The sequence below is a fragment of the Homo sapiens genome, chromosome 11 (genome assembly GCF_000001405.40).
Source record: "Homo sapiens chromosome 11, GRCh38.p14 Primary Assembly".
NCBI lineage: Eukaryota > Metazoa > Chordata > Mammalia > Primates > Hominidae > Homo > Homo sapiens.
In genome coordinates, this window is record NC_000011.10 from 6346655 (window position 1) to 6369558 (window position 22904).

At 44.8% G+C, this 22904-nt stretch overlaps 1 long non-coding RNA gene across 1 annotated transcript, besides 1 other annotated feature; it reads left to right on the forward strand.

The window, feature by feature from the left end:
• Window positions 1-16140: 16140 nt before the first annotated feature.
• Window positions 16141-18613, forward strand: LOC124902623 (uncharacterized). Its single transcript, XR_007062571.1, has 2 exons — window positions 16141-16456; window positions 17633-18613. It is a non-coding gene; the product is annotated as an uncharacterized LOC124902623 (long non-coding RNA).
• Window positions 16425-16719: a silencer, noted in NCBI's record as "tiled region #11421; K562 Repressive DNase unmatched - State 12:CtcfO". NCBI's record gives its function as "represses a minimal TATA promoter and a strong SV40 promoter by Sharpr-MPRA in K562 cells {active_cell/tissue: K562}" and the evidence as "EXISTENCE:reporter gene assay evidence [ECO:0000049][PMID:27701403]".
• Window positions 18614-22904: the final 4291 nt, after the last annotated feature.

Here is a 22904-nt window from a genome sequence, read left to right on the forward strand (position 1 = left end):
GATCCTTACCTGTGGATAAGGTAACCTGTGGGTAACAGATCCTTACCCGAGACTTGTGGGGCCCCATCAAGGTGAAAGTCCCACCTGGGCCCGGGCATGGGGAGTCATGCCTGTAATCCCAACACTTTGGGAGGCCAAGGAGGGTGGATCACCTGAGATCAGGAGTTCGAGACCAACCTGACCAATACGGTGAAACCCCGTCTCTATTAAAAATACAAAAATTAGGTGTGATGGTGCACACGTGTAGTCCCAGCTACTTGGGAGGCTGAGGCAGGAGAACTGCTTGAACCCAGGAGGTGGAGGTTGCAGTGAGCCGAGATCGTGCCACTGCCCTCCAGCCTGGGCGACAGAGTGAGACTCCATCAAAAAAAAAAAAAAAAAAAAAAACTCCCCCTGGCCAGCAATGAAAACCTGAAACTTCCTCCCCAGTTACAACTGATAAAAACCAGTTACATCCATTAAAAGAGACTTCTGGCTTAATATAAACTTCCACAAAACCACTGCAATCACAAATGTATGCTTGCTCAAGTCCAAACCCAAAACTGGCTTCACCAAAAGCCTCTTAACATAATAGTTGGGTCTCCAAATTTCACTCCCTGTTTATTTTTTAAGGCTCCTGGTCCAGTGAATCAGATGTTGAAGTTGTGTGTTGAAGATGTGCCTCAATAAACGGCACATCTTTCCCTCTCCTGAGTTCAACACCAGTTAAAAGGTAGAAACCAATAATCATTTCTATGACTGACAAAGTTAATATTAGAAAGATGGCTTATATCATTGGATAAAATAACTTTCTAATAGTGAATCCCAGAAATAAAAAGAGGTTTACCTACACAGCTATAGTTCATACTGGAAAAATGAGGTCTACCAATGGGGCAAGCCCCTTTAGAATGTCCTTTGAAGTGCATGCTTTTGAGGTCAACCTGGATCCCAAAGAGACAACTGGGAAAGCTGAAGCTTGTTCTTCCCAAATGTATCATTTAGCTAAGTCATTGACTTCTCTTCTGGAGAGGGAGGCCAGTATTATTACTCTAAAAGAGCTCCCTCCATGTGAAATGAACCATTGAGAGCGAAGAAAAGCACTTTTCTCCAGTCGTAGTCAAGGTTAACCATCCTAATGGATAAAGAAAATGTGGGATATATTCAGCCCTTATAAAGAAGGAAATCCTTTCATTTGTGACAATATGGAGAAACCTGGAAAACATTATGTGAAGTAAAACAAGCCAGACACAGAAGGACAAATATTGCATGATTTCAGAAATATGTGGAATCTTTAAAAAGTCAAACTTATAGAAGCAGAGAGTAGAATAGAAGTTACCAGTAGCTGCGGCCAGGCGCGGTGGCTCACGCCTGTAATCCCAGCACTTTGAGAGGCCGAGGTGGGCGGATCACGAGGTCAGGAGATCCAGACCATCCTGGCTAACACAGTGAAACCCCGCCTCTACTAAAAATACAAAAAATTAGCCGGTCGTGGTGGCGGGCGCCTGTAGTCCCAGCTACTCGGGAGGCTGAGGCAGGAGAATGGCATGAACCCGGGAGGCGGAGCTTGCAGTGAGCCGAGATCGCGCCACTGCACTCCAGCCTGGGCGACGGAGCCAGACTCCGTTTCAACAAAAAAAAAAAAAAAAAAAAAAAAAAAGTAGTTACCAGTAGCTGGGGCTGGGGGTTGGGGTGCTGGGCGAGTAGGGAGATTGGGGAGACGTTGATCAAAAGGCACAAAAGTTTCCTCCAGTTAGACAGGAAGAATCAGCTCAGAAGATTTACTGTACAATACGATGACCATAGTTAATAACAATGTATTATACATTTGAAAATTGCTAAGAGTAGATTATGCTTTCTCACCACAGAAAAAATGTGTAAGTATTTGAGGTAATTGATATGTTAATTGGCTCAATTTAACCATTCTACAGTGTATTCATATATCAAAACATGTACACTAAAAAATCTATACCATTTATATTAGTCAACTTAAAAATTAATTTTTTAAAAAGATTAATTATCCTAGATAACAGCAGGACATCTTTTTTCCGTTTCTGCACATGGCATGAGAAATGTGACATGACCAGTTTCCAATTTCCAATGTAATGGGATCATCATTACAGGCACCTAGTGAAAATATCTCTCACTTTGTTTTTGGTTTTGTTGTTTTGTTTTGTTTTTGTTTTACTTTGAACACTAAGATGCTAAATACTTTGGTAGTAAAAGAATCTTGGTTAGAGAAAGACAGCATTTTGAGAATGGTTATTGAAGTATAATTATGAGTGGTGATGCTCCCATCTCCAACTCTTAATCCCTGGGCCTATGTGTTCTGACTTGGAGACATGAATATATGAATCTGGCAGAGAGCATAAATCACCAACAGCAAGACAAGATGCCTAACTCACAAGCAATTGTCCCCCAGCTAGGGTCAAAGCTGAACATTCATTTCTCTATAATGCCAGCAACTTCTGTCTGATAGGGTCTATATTAGCTTTCTAGAGCTGCTATAAGAAAGTGCCACAAAATTAGTGATTTAAAACAACAGAAACATATTCATTTGTTATCTTATGGTTCTAGAAGCTAGAAGCCCAAGGTCTCAGCAGGGCACTCTCAGAAGGCTCTGGAGAGGATCATTCTTTGCCTCTGGTAGCTCCCAGCAATCCTTGTCATTCCTTGGCGTGTAACTGCACCACTTCAATCTCTGTCTTCATTTTCACAGGTCCTTCTTTCCTCTGTATCCAAGAGTTTTCAAATCTTTCTCTCCTTATAGAGACACCAATCATTGAGTTTAGGGTCCTCCCTAATCCAGTCTGACCTTATCTTAATTTAATTACACATGCAAAGACCCTATTTTTAAATAAGGTCCTCTTCAAAGGTACCGGAGTTAGGACTTCAACATATCTTTTTGAAGAACACAGTTCAATCCACTGTAGGTCCCATAATGAAATCAATGAATGGCATGGACATTGGTTCTTTGCCTTACTTCTTTTTCTATGAAAAATTTCTTGACAGAGCTGTGATACATTAACTGTAAAAATGGACCCTGGCCGGGTGCTGTGGCTCACGCCTGTAATCCCAGCACTTTGGGAGGCTGAGGTGGGCGGATCAGAAGGTCAGGAGATCCAGACATTCCTGGCTAACACAGTGAAACCCCATCTCTACTAAAAATACAAAAAAAGGTCAGGAGATCCAGACATTCCTGGCTAACACAGTGAAACCCCATCTCTACTAAAAATACAAAAAAAAAATAGCCAGGCGTGGTGGCGAGCACCTGTAGTCCCAGCTACGCTGGAGGCTGAGGCAGGAGAATGGTGAGAACCCGGGAGGCGGAGCTTGCAGTGAGCTGAGATCGCTCCACTGCACTCCAACCTGGGCAACAGAGCAAGACTCAGTCTCAAAAAAAAAAAAAAAAAGACCCTATGCTTCCCCTGCCTCCCTGTATCCATACTTTTTGAAATGTGACTTTTCAATCCTTCCATCAAGAAAGTCTGTTTCCTCACACACTGAATCTAGACTGGCCTTATGGTTTGCTTTGGCCAATAGAATGCAGCAGAAGTGTCATCATACTATTTCTGAATGTATGCTTCAAACTTCTGGTCTCTCTTTTGGAAACCTGACCCTGCCATGTAAATAACACCAGGGTAACTTGATGCTTGATGAGACACATGTCCCAGTCTCCCATGTCACCCAGCCATCAGCCAGCCAACCACCAGACATGTGAGTGAGGCCATCCTAGACCAGTCAACCTGCAGCTGATCAACATGGTGACCCACAGATTCATGGGCAATAATATATGGTTACTGTTTTAAGCCACTATGTTTTGGGATGGCTTGTTATGCAGCATTAAATAACTGATAACAAGATATAACAGTATATATGACTCCATGACAATACATAAGACTTTCAGTAAGTTCGCAGATGTCAGTGCTGGCAGGAGTGTGACAAATGGAGAAGTAACACCCAAATTCAGAATAAGTGTCTATTCCAATGAGGACAAATGTCTGTCACCTATGTAATGAAACATGCCTAAAAACAATCTAGCTGGTAGCATTAGCTGGCTGATCCCATTAAATTATGGTCTCATAATATGGATTAAGAGTTTGTCACTGTTAATTGGCAATTTGCATATTTGGCTGTGGCAGTAGCCAAATAAGACACAGCCAAGAGAATTCTATTATGAGCCAAAACCTAGTTAACATTCCGAATCTCATTGCCAATTTATTCATGAAGCCATTGGGCAAAAACTGGGAAGTTTAGGGAAGAAGACTTGATTGATGTATCAGATGCATCCTTTGGTCCCAACCCGCATCTTCTTGGCTTATCTTTTTCTCCAGCCAGTTGATCAGGAAGCAGGATGGCAACCAGCCTCCTGTAGAGGGAATCTGTCAGCAGCCTGACTCAACTTCACTTTTTGCCTAGGGCACACTCCTGCATACACAACCTCAAACTGTGAGGCAGCTAACACCCAAGAGGCAACCCTTGACTAAGGAGGGGTAAGGCCAGGAGATACACAAATGCAGGCCAGGCATGGTGGCTGTACCTATAATCCCAGGACTTTGGGAGGCTTAAGTGGGAAGATCACTTAAGCCTGGTAATTCAAAATTACAGTGAGCTATAGTCACTGCACTCCGGCCTAGGCGACAGAGCAGGAGGACCTTGTCTAAATAAATAAATAAATGGAACATCTTACACTTATTCTCATAAGATCCAGCAGATAGAGCTCAGTTGCTCACAAAAGTGATTAACTCCAATATATGCCTTGCATTAGCTCTTCCCACTCTGACAAAATCACCAGACACCACCCAGAAATCAGTGTAAACCTGTCCCCAGGAAAGGTGTTATTCCCGGAAGGATGAAAGTTGGGCTTCCCTTCCCTCTGGCCATTTCTGTCTGGTAGCTGTGTCCTATGCAGAGCTATCTGCAAATCAGGCTTGAGTCTTCTCTTCTGTCAACAGGGCCTGGATGGAAATTGAGGGAGGGTGGCATGAGCTCTCATTCATTTTAATGGCTGCATAATATTTCATTATAAGGAATATTTAATCACATTTTATGTAACTAATTCATGGTATTTTTGTTGCTACAACAAAGCTGCTATGAATACCCCTCAAGTAGCCCCTCCATCACCTCAAAAAATGAAAATAATCCAGTGGAAGAAACTGACGTTAAGCTAGTAATTATGAAAATAGTGACTTCATTATAATTGTGATCTATGAAAGAAAAGTACTAAATGCTGTGACAGTACATTATACATAGACCTAACCTCATGGACTTGAGGGTGAGTCATAAAAAACTACCCTGAGGAAACGACATTTAAGTTAAGATTCAAAAGACAAGTATAAGTTAATCAGGTCAGTGGGTAGGAGGGAGGTGCGGATGAGGCAGAAGGAGCCAGCATGTGTGAAGGTGTCAGCTGGAATGTGCATCAGCATGGCAGCACACACACAAGTGCACAAGGCAAGAAAGATTAGCCCTTTGGGGAGTTGTCAGCACTGCAGCACATATACAAGGGCACACAGACGAGAAAGGTTAGCACTTTGGGGAGTTGTCAGCAGTGTACCACATAGAAAAGTGCACACAGGCAAGGAAGGTTAGCACTTTGGGGAGTTGCCAGCAGTCCTACCTGCCTGATCTTTAGAATGAGGTGGAGAAAGGTTGATGCAACTGTGAAGTACACAATAGGGAGCCGCTGGAGGATTTTAAGGAAGGATTTCCTAAATCTCACTCTGGAGGGGAATCTGGAGAGAGAAAAGGTTTAACATAGGAAAACCAGGCAGGGGACAGAACTAGCTGTGTGGTCTTAGACAAATCATGTAGCCTCTGTGAGCTCCAGTTGCCTCATCCGAAAATAGGGGTAATATTTCCTACCTTAGAGAGTGCTGTTATGATTATTGAGATAAAGTATTACAGATGTTAAATGTTTAATAAATGTTAACATTTATTATTTTTCTACATTCCTCGTTCTCCCTTACTTTTCATGTCTATTTTGACACAAAATCCTGCTCATCCTCCCTCCTAAACACCCCTCAGATCTGTTTTCTTTTCTGCAACATCCTTCTTTATTTAACTCTCATAAATTCTAACTTGGTTGCCTAGTTGGGTCTCTGCCTGCAGTCCATCCCTCCTCTAATTACAACTTGGCTACCAAAGTAATTAAACAGAAACCAGAATATTTCATCTGCCTGTAGAAAATTCTCCTGATTTTTTATCCGTTTAAGAACCACGACCAAAGCCTTAAATTAAATATGGGTATAAGATTCTTAATGATCTTCCCCCATATCTATATGTCATTCCTCCTCCTCACCATCCTCCCAGCCCACCCCTATAGTGTTCCATATTTCCTAGATGTTTTGGACCGCATGGAGATCCCTTGACACCCCAGGCTCTCTCACACACCCCACATCCTTACTCACACATTTGCTCCTGCCCCAGATACCTTCCCTCATGTGTGCCTCACAAACAAAATCCCTGTTCATGCTTTGAGACCCTGTTTCAATGTCACCTCTTCCTCCTCACACTTTCACAACCTCCTTAAACTGTATATTCAGACCTTCCCTGGGCCTCCAAAGCATTGTGCATATCCTTGTTCTTCAATCCTTATCACATTTATTGTAATTATTTTATTTATATTAATTTTCACCTCTGACACCATGAGCTTCTAAAAATAGTGACCTTGCTTAATCACCCTTGTATCCTCAGCACCTAACTCAAATTCTATCATATATTGGATGTACACTTGCTGGAAAAAAAAACGTATGAATGAATCCAACATAAAAAGTCACAGTGCATTTGGAACTAGTTGGTCTGTGATAACAGGATTTGGCCTCTAGGTGGCTGTGCTTAGGGGATCTAAGCTGTCAAGCCTGATTCTCCCCTGACTCCAGGGAATCTGGTCAGAAGGGCAACTAATTTCCTCTCTCACTTCTCACCTGCTTGCACTTGGGACCCACCTTGGGACCTAAGCCAGCTGCCCCCTCCACATGTGAGGTTGCAGTGCCATCTACTGGTATCTAGAAGACCTGCAGGTCAGGCCGAAGGAGGAAGAGGGAGGAAGAATTAAGGACCACTGTGGTTTAACCCTGCCGTGAAATCTCAGCTACCAGATCCCACATTGGGCAGTTTGTCCCACCTATGTGAGCCCATGCTTGCTAGGGAAAGCCCCTCATTTATACTTCCCGTTGACCGAATACCCTCAGTCATGTCTCAGTGTCCAGAGCCCTTTCTTCAACCCTCTGAGAGCCAGGGACCCCACCCTCAGTTTCATCAGGAGCTGGTCACCCTAAGTCAGTGACACAAGCATCCTCCTTGTCCCTCTCAGTAATAGAGCCTCTCACTCAGAAACCTCTGATCACCTGTAAGAATTTGTGACAGGACCCTCTCCTTCAGGCTTTGGTGACCAGATGTCTCCACCCAGGCCCTTAGTAAGTAGGGCCCTTGACTCAGACCCCTCAGTGATCAGGGATTTTTCCACAGGTCCCCAATGACCAGAGCATCATGTTTAGGCTCGTCATGGACCAGAGCCTACCCTCACCCCAGTTTTCAGTAACTAAGGACCTTCTCTGAGACACCTCAACAACAGTGCCTCAGCTCAGCCCCCTCAGTGACCACAGTCTCCTTCACAGGCCTCCCAGGGACCCTCACTCAGGCCCCTCAGTAACCAGGGTCCTCACTGAGCCCATCAATGATTGGGGTCCTCACTCTGCTTCTCCGTGAGCTGAGGACTCAGATTTCTCTAGTTTTCATTCAAGTTTCATTGACAGGAACCCTCCCTCAGACCCCTCATCAGGGATGGATTCTTCAATAAGCTGATAAGAAAGAGCTATGGCATTATGAAAGCAGAAACCACAAAACAGGAAAACAAATTTTTAAAGAATTCAATATTTGCAAAAGGCCATCAGTATGACCATCGTGGGATACATTTTATTAACTTTCTTTGTATTTATTTTATGGCCTATACCATTTTGTTTTGAATAACATGTAGAAACCAAACATAATCTTTAATGTGTTTAGACCTTTAACAGTCTTGATCAGCCCCATTCCTCAGGGACCCTGACCATCACTAAGAGCTGCATGACCAAAGGTCTTTAATTAAGGCCTAGTGAGCATAACAAGAACTGGGCAGGTCCCCTCAGGCCACCCAACTGTCTTCCGCTTCCCTCTCTCTGCTCCCCTGAGAAGCCTCTTATCTCCAGGGCTCTGCCTTCTGCTCCATCCCTGTGCCCTTTGTCCAGAGAGGGGCCACAGCTGCGCCCAGGTCTCATGAGGAGGAGTGGGCCCTGCTGGGCTAATTGGTGCAATCCCAGGGTTGTCCCCCAAAAGGCCGGCTTTGGCCACTCCAGCCCCAGCCCACATACATCAGGGATGATTAGCAATAACCCTCCAAAATGTTTCTGCCACACACTAATCCACATGAACAGTGTAACGTAAACAAACCAGCTTCCACTTTTACCCCAAATCCTCTGGGAACTTAGTACAGGGTCTAAAGTAAATACAAATTACAGGAAAACTTGGTGGCCAGATATAGGAAATTGTGATTCACCATCCCTATTCCTGTTCCCCCTCTTCCCAGAGCCATTTTTTCCTCTGTTTTAACTCATGCTGGGCTCCCTGCATTTGAGCTGCCCATGGAGTTCCTTTAAACATTAACCACTGTTCTTGTTTGCCAGCTGCCCCTAAGGCCTGTTTTTCCATCTACAAACAGAACCTTCAGCATTAAGGCCTTTTTTCAGAAGAAAAACCAAAACCATCCCATTAATCAAAAGCATAACAAGTCAGCCATTCAGTCAATGCATTCATTATTCATTCATTCATTCATTCATTCATTCATTCTTACCACACATCCTTATTGAGCTCCCCTGCGTATTGAGCCTTGTGCAAGGTATTGGGGAAACAACAGTGTATAAAATAGAATTCATCACTTTGGGAGGCCAAGGTGGGTAGCTCACGGGGTCAGGAGTTCAAGACCAGCCTGGCTAAGATGGTGAAACCCCGTCTCTACTAAAAATACAAAAAATTAGCTGGGCATGGTGGCGGACGCCTGTAATCCCAGTTACTCAGGAGGCTGAGGCAGAGAATTGCTTGAACCCAGGAAGCAGAGGTTGCAGTGAGCCGAGATCGTGCCACTGCACTCAAGCCTGGGCAACAGAGTGAGACTCTGTCTCAAAAAAAAAAAAATATATATATATATATAATTTATATATATATATAATTTATATATATAATTTATATATATATAATTCATATATATATAATTTATATATAATTCATATATATATAATTTATATATATAATTCATATATATATAATTTATATATATAATTCATATATATATATGAATTATATATATAATTCATATATATATAATTTATATATATATAATTCATATATATATATAAAATTCATGTCCTTGTGAAACTCACCTCCAATTAGGAGACACAGCTGTTAGACAAACTGTATGATTATTTATTTAATAGAAAATGTGATACATAGCCGGGCGTGGTGGCTTATGCCTGTAATCCCAGCACTTTGGGAGGCCAAGGCAGATGGATCACCTGAGGTCAGGAATTAGAGACCAGCCTGACCAACAAGGTGAAACCCCATCTCTAGTAAAAATACAAAAAAAAAAAAATTAGCTGGTCGTGGTGGCACGTGCCTGTAGTCCGAGCTACTCAGGAGGCTGAGACAGGAGAATTGCTCGAACCCGGGAGACGGAGGTTGTGGTGAGCCGAGATCGTGCCACTGCACTCCAGCCTGGGCTATCGAGCAAGACACCGTCTCAAAAAAAAAAAAGAAAGAAGGAAAATGTGATATATACTACAAAGGAGATGGACTTAATATTTGTTTAGGCCTGCGCTACATGCTCTGGGTGCTATAAAATAAGTGGATAAGGGATAAATCTACTGTCAAATATTCAAAATCGATGTGGAGAGCCAACCCAGAGGTCCTGCTAGGGAGGGGAGAGTTAAAAGAAACCTCTCAGTCTCCAGTTCTTGAGAATATCTCAAAGACTCTTGAGGACTGGAAAAAAACAGAAGTGTTGAGTAAAGACGTCCAGAAAACAGGGCCAAGGTGTCAGGGGTGACATATTGGACTAGCACCAACAGGTCAAACAAGAAGGCAAACTGTGTTTATAAAATGTTGCAGAGTGCTGCTGGTGGGCTGGCCAGAGATTGGAAGACAGGAAAGGCAGAATTTCTTCGAGTCAGAGCAAGGGGCATACAGGCTTCACGGCAAAGTGGATTTGTTCACTCATTTGTTTAATCATTACCTCTTGATTAATGTTAGGCACTGTGCTGGATGCTAAAGATACAGTAATTAACAGAAAAGTTTATTTGTGAAAACAGACATGTAAACAGATACACAATAAGCCCCAATAACTGCTATTAAAAATACATGCATGAGGCTTAACAGTGACACACTAAGTTACCCCTATAATAATGTCCCCATCACTAACTGGGGAGAAGAGGGAGTGGCATCACAGCCAGCTCTCAGGAATTGCTTCTCCAAAACCTTTGCTACACGTGCACCCAGCAGTGGTAGGAAGATTGCTAACACACCAATTGTCATGTCATTTTCAAGTCATCGTATTGCATTGAAATGTAATAGTTATTTTTGCCATTGGCTTTGATTTCCTTCCAAAATTCTTCCAGGGTTTCGATAAAATTGGGTTTAACCTTTGAGAGTGCGTATGAATATGGTTGTCATCCATTGTGTGTGGGTGGTGGAGAAAAGATTGAGAATGGCCGCCGTGCACGGCTGAGGATGAGTCACAATCTTTAGACCAGAAAGGGAGCTGAGTGGGAGGCCTGGCAGGAGAGAGTCGCAAGTATGAATCGGGGCTTTTGGCCCTGAGGCAATAATGATGTCACGCCATCTCTCCAATGTGGCCTCCCAGTGAGATGTCCTGATCTAGCCAGGCCTGGAACCTAGTGGAGAGGCGCCAGAAAGCCCAGTGCCAGGGTCTCCTTATTGTGTGATCCAAAACCTGTGCTTTGGAAATTTGACGTAGGTGAGCTATTTATATTTTATATGTTCTCTTCCTCTCTGTTCTGCAGAAAAAACTTCATAAAATGCCATCTATATCTGTACTTTCTTCATTGAATATGTATTGCTTGTTTAATTTTTTAAAGATATGGATTCAAAGTAATACAGTATAAAGAAAAGACCCTAAAATGAAAATGCCAGTTCAAACTGTGTTCAGACGAATTAAAGTTTTGTTCACATTCCTGGGAAAGCTGTAAAAAAGGAACAGCCCAACTCCAATTAGGAGTTGGGGACAAGGCTGGGCAAGCAGTTAGTTTTGAAGTCAGAAAACTCTCAGACTGCTGAGGAAAGAGGTGGGGATAGGCGTGGGAATTTCAGAGCCCTTGCCCTGCTCCCCCTGCCGCAGAATTCTCCTTCCAGAACTCCCCTGTGCCAGACTTTCCTAAGTTCCACAGTGGTATGCTTCCATGAGTAAAGTTGTTTCCATTACTGACAGATTATGGTGACCCAAGAGACATTTAGAATCCAGTTCTAGGCCTCAGAAGCTCTGTAAAGTCAGGGGACACAGGAGAGGCCAGTAGGCAGGGAATGCCACACAAATGTGAGCATCTCTTCCTTCCATCTCTTTAAAGTCTATCTTCAAGAACAAGCCCACACTCTACCTCCCTTGTGAAATTCTCCCTGACTCTTTGGCCACCACTGGCCTCTCCTTCCTGGAGTTCTTTAATTATGAAGATTAAGCACCATTTTATGTCTTTCTTCTTCTGGAAAATCATCTGATCATGTATTTTGCCTGCCTATCAGTGCCTCAGTGTATTCTTTTAAAGTCAGTTTATGGGAGTTCTTGGTGCAGCTAACTGCAAATATTTCCCTAGTTTATTTGCCTTTTTTATTTTGCTTAACTTTTATTTTTTGAGATGCTAAAGTTTAAAATACTTCTATAGCCGAGTCAGTTAATCTTTTCCTTTGTGATCACTTCTACTGCTTCTAAGATGGAAACATTACTTCCTTCCAGAGATTTGATAAACATTTTGGTGTTTCTGGGAATTTTTTTAAAAAGTTATTTAGTTCATCTGGAAAGTACTCGGTATACAATGTGAGAAGAGGATCTAGACTGATCTGATGGTAACTAGTTTTCCCAGAACTTTGTATTGAATAAATTTCTTGGCTGGGCGTGGTGGTTCACACCTGTAATCCCAGCACTTTGGGAGGCTGAGGCAGGCAGATCACCTGAGGTCAGGAATTCGAGACGAGCCTAGCCAACATGGTGAAACCCAGTCTCTATTAAAAATACAAAAAATTAGCCAGGCATGGTGGCAGGCACCTATAATCCCAGCTATTCCAAAGGCTGAGGCAGGAGAATCGCTTGAACCCAGGAGGCAGAGGTTGTGGTGAGCCGAGGTCACGCCATGGCACTCCAGCCTGGGCAACAAGAGCGAAACTCCATTTCAAAAAAAAATTTATTCTTTTTCCAGTGATTTTTTTTTTTTTTTTTGACAGGGTCTTGCTCTGTCACCCAGGGTAGAGAGCAGTGGCACAAACACCATTCATTGCAGCCTCAGCCTCCTCGGGCTGAAGCAATCCTCCCATGTAGCTGGGACCACAAGTGTGCACCCCCACACCCAGCTAATCTTTTTTTTTTTTTTTTTTTTTTTGTAGAGATGGGGATCTCCCTGTGTTGCGCAGGCTGATCTCAAATTCGTAGACTCAAGCGATACTCCCACCTTGGCCTCCCAAAGCATTGGGATTACAGGCGTGAGCCACCGCGCCTGTCCCCTATAGATTTTTTATTCCATTTTTATGGTATATTGAATTCATATATATCAGGTCAATCTTTTTTCCAGGCAACCTATTCAGCTCCAATAAAAGAGTGTTTGACACCTGACTGTGCATTGTTTATTACTCCCTGTTAAGTATAGTCAAAATAATTTAAAGAAAAAAATCACATACTTTACTTCCAATTATTTATCCAACATCCAACTGAATGTTGACTTTGGGACAGACACTGGCTGGGTGCTGGAAATAGAGTGGAGAATAAGACAGGTATGGTTTCTGCCATTACTATACTCATAATCAAATAGCAATAATGATAAGACTACAGAAAGTGTTTAGCAGCAAACTGCATCTTAGAGGTGATGGGAGGGAAGTGTTGGAGAAACCCACTGGAGGCTTCCATCTGACACCTGAAGGATGAGTGGACACTAACACAAAGAGAAGGAGGCTGGCAGAATCCAGAACATGATGAGACCTAGGCCAGGCACCTCCTACTAGGACCTTGATTACAGCTTTATGGAACCAATGGAACCTGGAGGAAAAGAAGCAGGTAAAGATGAGAAAACTGATCACCCTGCAAGGACTATCCTGAGCAGAAAAGGGGAGCTCCTACTTCATGCCAGACATCATGCCAACACTTGCATATAACTCTCAGTTCATCCTCAGAATCCTCCTTGGGGTTACTTTATTTATTCCACTGTACTATCACTGGGAGACTAAGGCCAGAGTGTTTACATTCCCCACTTGCTGGGGTCCCAGATCATAATGTGGGCAGGATGAAGCCCTGAAGCATGAACGCATCCACCTTGTTCTGTTCCTTTCCTCCCTCCTCGGGGGAAGTTTGCTATCCCTGAACCTTTGTGCTTCTTGATCTCATGTCATACAATCTTAGACATAAGTCTAAAAGACGTTGACTCACCAGAGTCCTTGGACTGGCAGGGGCCTAGGTCAGACTGTGGAATCTCCAGAGCCAAATTTGTCTTTTCAAATTCTAAGTTCTCGGCACTTGGTTTCTCATGTCACCCACTTGGCCCTCTTCCAAGTGTACTTTCCTTCTTTTCTTTCCTTACTATTCTAAAGCTTTTTAATAAACTTCCACTGCTGCTCTGAAATTTGCCTTGGTCCTTTTTTCTGCCTTATGCCTCTCAGTTGAATTCTTTCTTCTTCTTTTTTTTTTTTTTTTTTTTTTTGAGACAGAGTTTCACTCTTGTTGCCCATACTGGAGTGCAATGGCACAGTCTCCACTTACTGCAACCTCTGCCTCCTGGGTTCAAGCGATTCTCTTGCCTCAGCCTCCTGAGTAGCTGGGATTATAGACATGCACCACCACGCCCAGCTAATTTTTGTATTTTTAGTAGAGAGAGGGCGTCTCCATGTTGGTCAGGCTGGTCTCGAACCCCCAACTTCAGGTGACCCACCCGACTCGGCCTCCCAAAGTGCTGGGATTACAGGCATGAGCCACCACGCCTGGCTGAATTCTTTCTTCTAAGGAGGCAAGAATTGAGGTTGCTGCAGATGCATACAGATTCGCTGCCAGTAACTCAGATACCTGCCACTGCTAACATATTTGGTGCTGACTGACTCAGATATGTTCCCTAGTGGTGAGAGATCTCTATGCCTCACCTTCTTCAGCTGGAGGCGTCTGATCCCTGTGTGTGGTTTTTCTTCTCCTCTCTAAAAAAAAAAAAAAAAAAAAGAAAAAAAAAATTCGAAGTTCTCTACCCACCTTTATAGCTCAATGAGCTCATAAATAGTCATCAGGACCTGCTGGTTGTTGCAGATATTTACACCAAAACTTCAAAACAATGCACACTTGCAGGATCACTGTCTTACTAGGTATCTTTCGGGACTGCATTCCAAAAGCTCTCCATTTCCATTACTGTGTTCCATGGCCAAGACCCACCCACATGGCCACCACCTTTGCTTCCTCTGTACCCCTGTACTCTAGTTGTAAATGCCAGTTGCTTCCCACCCCTCACTTCCCTGCCACACCACCATATATATGACAGCTAGCCATTTTATACCAGCGCTACTCAAAATTGTGGCCTACAGGCCAGTATCCACCTACAAATTATTTGTTCCCATGAGAAGATAAGTTCAGAAATGGAGAGTAAGCATTTAGAAATGTCTATAGCAATTTGACAGAATCATTATTTATCATTTAATTTAATAACAAAAAGTACACCTAACGCCATATGGTATCCTGAATTAGATTCTGAAACAGAAAAAGGACATTAGTGGAAAAACTGCTGAAATCTGAAGAGAGTCTGTAGTTTAGTGAATAGTACCATGCCACAGCTAATTTATTAGTTTCGATAAATGTACCACAGTTATCCAAGATATTAACATTAGGGGAAATTGAATGAAGGGTACACAGCAACTGTCTACTCTCTTCGCAACTTTTCTGCAAATCTAAAATTATTCCAAAATAAAAAGTTTATTTTTACAAACTGGGTTCATATTTTGTGTCTTTTTAAATTTTTTCTTTTTTTTCTTTTTTCTTTTTGAGACGAAGTCTTACTCTTGTCCCCTAGGCTGGAGTGCAATGGCACGATCTCGGCTCACTGCAACCTCCGCCTCCCGGGTTGAAGCAATTCTCCTGCCTCAGCCTCCTAAGTAGCTGGGATTACCGGTGCCTGCCACCACGCCCAGCTAATGTTTGTATTGTTAGTAGACACAGGGTTTCACCATGTTGGCCAGACTGGTCTCAAACTCCTGACCTCAGGTTATCTGCCCACCTCGGCCTCCCGAAGTGCTGGGATTACAGGCATGAGCCACCACGCCCGGCCAAATTTTTGTTTTTCTAGCAATTTAATTGCATTTTACAAAAGTGTCAGTCTGCAGTGGATTTGAAATGCAAATGTTTAAAATAAAATTGGTCTTGTCACCATGGATAGTTTGAGAAACACTGCTTTGTACACTCTGTATCCCCCATGGAGCTTGTCACCATAATTGCTATGCACTCTGATCACTAATACTTGTTGATGATGGCCAAACCCACAGGTGTGAGTTTTGGAACCAGTTGCTGCACATTGTAGATAAAGTCACAGCCCAGGGCCCTGTCAATCCTCCAATACAGGGACATTTCAGGACTCTGTTGTATACTGAATACTGCCATATCCCAGGGCCCTGTCACATCGTAGCTGTTGCACACCAGATACTATCACAGCTCAGGGCCAAGCAGGGGCTGTGACAAGCCCCTGGGAAATGCCAGTATATAAAGATTGACAGGACAGGCCCTGGGTTGTTCTGCACATGGAGGTTCCTGGGACGTGCCATTATTTGAGGGATGCCAGAGCCCCACTCTGTGTCTATATCTGGGGTATGACAAGGCCCTGGACTGTGACATGGTTCTGGAATGTGGCCACGCCCCGTGAGTGAGGTATTGAGTTCTGGGCTGTGACAAGTTCTGACTGTGCCAGGGTACAGACTCTTAATTCCTTCTGGAATACTGAGAGTGCCGGGAAATGACAGCTTAATGTTCAGGGTACGTCTTAGTTTGTCTTGGATCTTGTGACAGGGACAGCTGCATTAGTCTTGGAGTGAAAGTGTATCTGAGTATGTTGGGCCACATTTGCAGTAGTTTGTTCTGAACTCCAGAGCTATTGACCAAGCCCGTCCTGCCTTCTGAGGTATGGAAGACACTGAGGCCTCCTGACCCACGGCACAGCATTCTCTGCTTCCAGCGCGTCTGCCTTGGGCCATCACCCCAGAGAGTTTGATCAAGGTCTGTCTTACCACACCCCCTCCCAAATTCTTGCAGCTCCCAAAGCTGCTGGAGGCAGCACCTGAGCCTGTCTCTCCGCTGAGCTTCTTCACCCCAAGGACTGCCTGCTGGCTGCCCACTTCTCATCAGGCAAGGCCACAGTGCCATCTGCTGGCTATTGGGAGCCATGCTGGTCAGGTTGGGAGGGCACAGGAGCATGCTAGGCTGACAAGGAGCACTGAGCTCTCCCCACCTCAGCTCAGGAATAACAGAAGTGGCCTTTCCCTTAAGCCCCCACTGACCAGAGCCCCTCATTCAGGCTTCAGTCACCAGAGCCCCCTGCTCAAGTCCTTTAGTTACCATGGCCTCTAGGTCAGTCTCCTCAGGAATCAGGGCCCCTTGTGCAGCCCCCAGTCCCACCCCCCACTGACCAGAGCCTCAGTGACCAGGGCCCCTAGGTCATGCATCCAATGACCAGGGCCTCTTTCTAAGGCTCTCTACTGACCAGAACCCCTCATTCTAGCTCCATGGTGGTGAGGGCACCTCATTTAGGCTTGGCTTCACAATCAGGTCATTCAATGACCAGGACCTATAGCTCTTGACCCCCAAAGACCAGGGCCTTTCTCAGACCCCCACGACCAGGTCCTTTCAGTGACCTATAGTCCTCTCTTTTAGGACCCTCTGTGCCTAGGTTACTAAAGACCATTACTCAGAGGACATAAGGAGTGGTGTTTGTGGGGGCTCTTTGATCCCCAAGAGCTGGACAGGTCCCATCTGTTTCCTCTGTTTATCGTCCCCTTCCCACTGGTCTCCAGAGAGGCCTCTGGCCACTGGGGCTTTCCATTTTGTTTTGCCTGTGCTCCCGGGTCCCTCTTCAGACATGGCCACAGCTGTGCCCAGGTCTCATAACAAAGGTGGTCTCTGTTGAGTTAACTAATCCCATCCCGGGAACTGTGGCCCAAGAAGACTAGATTCTATAGCATGGCAGCCCACCTGGGCCTCGCATCTGCTGGCCCTCTAACACCAGACCACACACCCCTGTGCCATCTCACCACCTCCCATAGGCAGGCCTCCCATCACATCTATCTCAGGCCGTATTACCCAAAGGCCAAATGCTTCCAGTCCCAGCATCCCACCAGTCCCTGGCACCTGTCCTAGATACCAAGTGTGACTTTTCCCATTTTCCTTTTCTTCCAGACCCAAGCCTAATCCAGGTCCTACCCTTCTCAGCCCCCATCCCACTTGGGTTTATTTACTTATTCAAACAAACATCAAATGAGCATCTACATATTAGGATTCTAGATAGGGGTGTGGGGTCAGTGTGCAGGGACGGCAGCATAGAAGAGGGACTTTGGTTGAGACTTGAAGGATGAATAGGAGTTTGCCAAAGGGTCAAAGGATAGGAAGCTATTTGAGGAAGAAGAAACTGCATATACTACACAAATATACAGAGGACCCTGGTCAGCCATGTGGTTGGAGCACAAAGTGAAAAGTGAGGAGAGAGGGAGAAGAGAGACTTGAACAGGGAAGCAGAGAACAACAGATGGAAGATCTTGTAGCTGAGCTAAGGAGTATGAATTTTTTTCCCCTAGGATGGAAAAACACAGAAGTTTTTTCAAATTTCCAAGTAGGAAGTTATGATTCCAAAAAAAAGAAAAAGAAAAAGAAAAGAAGGCTTTTTCTAATTAGAAAGGTCAGGTTAGTGGCATTGTGGAAGACGGATTGGACAGGGGCAAAAGTAGACCCAGGGAGACTAGTCAGTCTAGCCAGTCAGCCAACAAGTGTTTTGTAAGTTCTGTAGTAGGTTAAATAGTTGCTTCCCCCACTCCAAAAGTTATGCCCATGTCCCAGAACCCGTGAATGTGACCTTATTTGGAAAACAGAACTTTAAAGATGTAATCAAGTTAAGGATCTCAGGATCCTTGATTATCTGATGGGCCTTAAATCCAATGGCAAATGTCCTTAAAAGAAACAAATGCAAGAGAAGGCCACTGAAGACAGAGGCAGAGATTGCAGTGATGCAGCCATAAGCCAAGGAATGCCCGGAAATGTCAGAAGCAGAAAGAGCAGATTCTCCCTTCAAGCCTTCAGAGGGAGTGTGGCCCTGCTGACATCTTGACATCAAACCTCTAGCCTCCAGAACAATGAGAATAAATTTATGTTGCCTTATGCCACCAAGTTTGTGGTAATTTTTTACAACAGCTCTAGGAAACCAATACACACGCTGACCAGGTACTGTGGTAGACACTGGGCGTATCATAATGAACACAGTAGATGTTTCCTGCCCTCTTGAATCTTAACAGTAAGCAAGTTTATTCATTCATTCACTCAACAAATATTCATTTGGCACCTGTAATATTCCAACCACTGTTCTAGGTACTTGGGTTACACTGGTGAAGAGTCTCTACTTTTGTGCAGTTCATTACTAGTGGAAGAAACAGACAGCAAACAAGTAAATAATAGAAGAGAAGAGAACAAATGAATAGAAACAGTAAAATAGAATGGAAGAGAGTAGAATAGAAACACTAGAACAGAAAAGAACTAAACAGAGCATATTAGAGTAGAACAAAATAGAATAGAATAGGAGTAGGGATAAGTGACCTAAAGAAAAATAAAGCTGGGTAAGGACAGGGTGAGGACCCGTTCCTCAGGTTTCCTTCCAGACCTCCTCCTGCTTGGCTCTGAATTGCTGGGGAACTGGTCTCTGCAGGCTGCATTTCCCAGGCTCCCGTTAGCTGGTGGACTTTGACCATTCAGATGAACTGGTAGGAGACTGGCAGTCAGAATCCAGCAGCCTGCCAGGATTTTTCACCACCTTTTCCTCTGCCTCTGCTGTGACTGTATCTCATTTAAGCCTCCATTGCTGAATAGGCCTGCTGTGGTTCTACCTTCTACACAGTGGCCTTCTTCCTGGGAAAAGTCTCTTCTCTGTCCCTCCTGTCAGGCCTCTGAGCCAAAGCTAAGCCATCATATCCCCTGTGACCTGCACATACACATCCAGATGGCTGGTTCCTGCCTTAACTGAGGACATTCAACCACAAAAGAAGTGAAAATGGCTGGTCCTTGCCTTAACTGATGACATTACCTTGTGAAATTCATTTTCCTGGCCCATCCTGGCTCAAAAGCTCCCCCACTGAGCACCTTGTGACCCCCACCCCTGCCCGCCAGAGAACAACCCCCTTTGACTATAATTTTCCTTTACCTACCCAAATCCTATAAAATGACCCCACCCCTATCTCCCTTTGCTGACTCTCTCTTCAGACTCAGCCCGCCTGCACCCAGGTGAAATAAACAGCCTTGTTGCTCACACAAAGCCTGTTTGGTGGGCTCTTCACACGGACGGGAGTGAAATTTTGGTGCCGTGACTCGGATCGGGGGACCTCCCTTGGGAGATCAATCCCCTGTCCTCCTGCACTTTGCTCCATGAGAAAGATCCACCTACGACCTTGGGTCCTCAGACCGACCGGCCCGAGGAACAACTCACCAATTTTAAATCGGGTAAGTGGCCTTTTTTTTACTCTCTTCTCCAACCTCTCTTACTATCCCTCAACCTCTTTCTCCTTTCAATCTTGGCACCACACTTCAATCTCTCCCTTAATTTCAGTACCTTTCCCTTTATGTTAGAGACAAAGGAGACACATTTTATCCGTGAACCCAAAACTCCGGCGCTGGTCACGGACTCAGGAAGACAGTCTTCCCTTGGTGTTTAATCACACGGGGATGCCTGCCTGATTATTCACCCACATTTCAGAGGTGTCTGACCACGTGGGGATGCCTGCCTTGGTCCTTCACCCTTAGTGGCAAGTACTGCTTTTCTGGGGGACAAGAAACCCCTGACCCCTTCTCTCCATGTCTCTACCCCTTCTCTGCTTTTCTAGGGGGCAAGAACCCCCCGCCCCTTCTCTCCGTGTCTCTACTCTCTCTTTTCTCTGGGCTTGCCTCCTTCACTATGGGCAATCTTCCACCCTCCATTCTTCCCTCTACTCCCTTAGCCTGTGTTCTCAAGAACTTAAAACCTCTTCAATTCACACCTGACCTAAAACCTAAACACCTTATTTTCTTCTATAATCCTGCCTGACCCCAATACAAACTCGACAGTGGTTCCAAATAGCCAGAAAACAGCGCTTTTGATTTTTCCAACCTACAAGATCTAAATAATTATTGTCGTAAAATAGGCAGTCTGAGGTGCCTGACGTCCAGGCATTCTTTTACACACCGGTCCCCCCCAGTCTCTGTTCCCAATGCAACTTGTCCCAAATCTTCCTTCTTTCCCTCCCGCGTGTCCCCTCAGTCCCAACCCCAAGCATCACTGAGTCTTTCTAATCTGCCTTTTCTACAGACCCATCTGACCTCCTCCCCAGGCTGCTCCTTGCCAAGCCGAGCTAAGTCCCAGCTCTTCCTCAGCCTCTGCTCCCCCACCCTATAATCCTTTTATCACTTCCCCTCCTCACACCCGGTCCAGCTTACAGTTTCGTTCCGAGACTAGCCCTCCCCCACCTGCCCAGCAATTTCTCTTAAAAAGGTGGCTAGAGCTAAAAGCATAGTCAAGGTTAATGCTCCTTTTTCTCTATCCAACCTCTCCCAAAATCAGTTAGCGTTTAGGCTCTTCATCAAATATGAAAAACCCCGCCCAGTTCATGGCCTGTTCGGCAGCAACCCTGAGACGCTCTACAGCCCTAGACCCTGAAAGGTCAAAAGGCCATCTTATTCTCAATATACATTTTATTTTATTACCCAATCTGCTCCCGACATTAAATAAAGCTCCAAAAATTAAATTCCGGCCCTCAAACCCCACAACAGGATCTAATTAACCTCGCCTTCCAGGTGTACAATAATAGAGTAGAGGCAGCCAAGTAGCAACATATTTCTGAGTTGCAATTCCTTGCCTCCACTGTGAGAGAAACCCCAGCCACATCTCCAGCACACAAGAACTTCCAAACGCCTGAACCGCAGTGGCCAGGCGTTCCTCCAGGCCCATGTCCCCCAGGAGCTCGCTACAAGTGCCAGAAATCTGGCCACCAGGCCAAGGAATGCCCACAGCCCAGGATTCCTCCTAAGCCATGTCCTATCTGTGCAGGACCCCACTGGAAATCGGACTGTCCAACTCACCTGGCAGCCACTCCCAGAGCCCCTGGAACTCTGGCCCAAGGCTCTCTGACTCCTTCCCAGATCTTCTTCGCTTAGTGGCTGAAGACTGACGCTGCCCAATCACCTCGGAAGCTTCCTGGACCATCACAGACGCTCTGGGTAACTCTCACAGTGGAAGGGAAGTCCATCCCCTTCTTAATCAGTACAGAGGCTACCCACTCCACATTACCTTCTTTTCAAGGGCCTGTTTCCCTTGCCTCCATAACTGTTGTGGGTATTGACGGCCAGGCTTCTAAACCTCTTAAAACTCCCCAACTCTGGTGCCAACTTAGACAACACTCTTTTAAGCACTCCTTTTTAGTTATCCCCACCTGCCCAGCTCCCTTATTAAGCCAAGATATTTTAACTAAATTATCTGTTTCCCTGACTATTCCTGGGCTATAGCCACACCTCATTGCTGCTTTTCCCCCAGTTCAAAGCCTCCTTCACATCCTCCCCTTATATCTCCCCACCTTAATCCACAAGTATAAGACACCTCTACTTCCTCCTTCGCGACCGATCATGCACCCCTTACCATCTCATTAAAACCTAATCACTCTTACCCCGTTCAATGCCAGTATCCCATCCCACAGCATGCTTTAAAAAGATCAAAGTCTGTTATCACTCGCCTGCTACAGCATGGCCTTTTAAAGCCTATAAACTCCCCTTACAATTCCCCAATTTTACCTGTCCTAAAACCAGACAAGCCTTACAGGTTAGTTCAGGATCTGCGCCTTATCAACCAAATTGTTTTGCCTATCCACCCTGTGGTGCCAAACCCATATACTCTCCTATCCTCAATGCCTCCCTCCGCAACCCATTATTCTGTTCTGGGTCTCAAACATGCTTTCTTTACTATTCCTTTTCACCCTTCATCCCAGCCTCTCTTCGCTTTCACCTGGACTGACCCTGACACCCACCAGGCTCAGCAAATTACCTGGACTGTACTGCCGCAAGTCTTCACAGACAGCTCCCATTACTTCAGTCAAGCCCAAATTTCTTCCTCATCTGTTACCTATCTCGGCATAATTCTCATAAAAACACACGTGCTGTCTCTGCCGATCATGTCCGACTGATCTCTCAAACCCCAACACCTTCACAAAACAAAACTCCTTTCCTTCCTAAGCATGGGTAGATACTTTCGACTATAGATACCTGGTTTTGCCATCCTAACAAAACCATTATATAAACTCACAAAAAGAAACCTAGCTGACCCCGTAGATCCTAAATCCTTTCCCCACTCCTCTTTCTGTTCCTTGAAGACAGCTTAAAGACTGCCCCTACCCTACCTGTCTCTGACTCATCCCAACCCTTTTCATTACCCACAGCCAAAGTGCAAGGC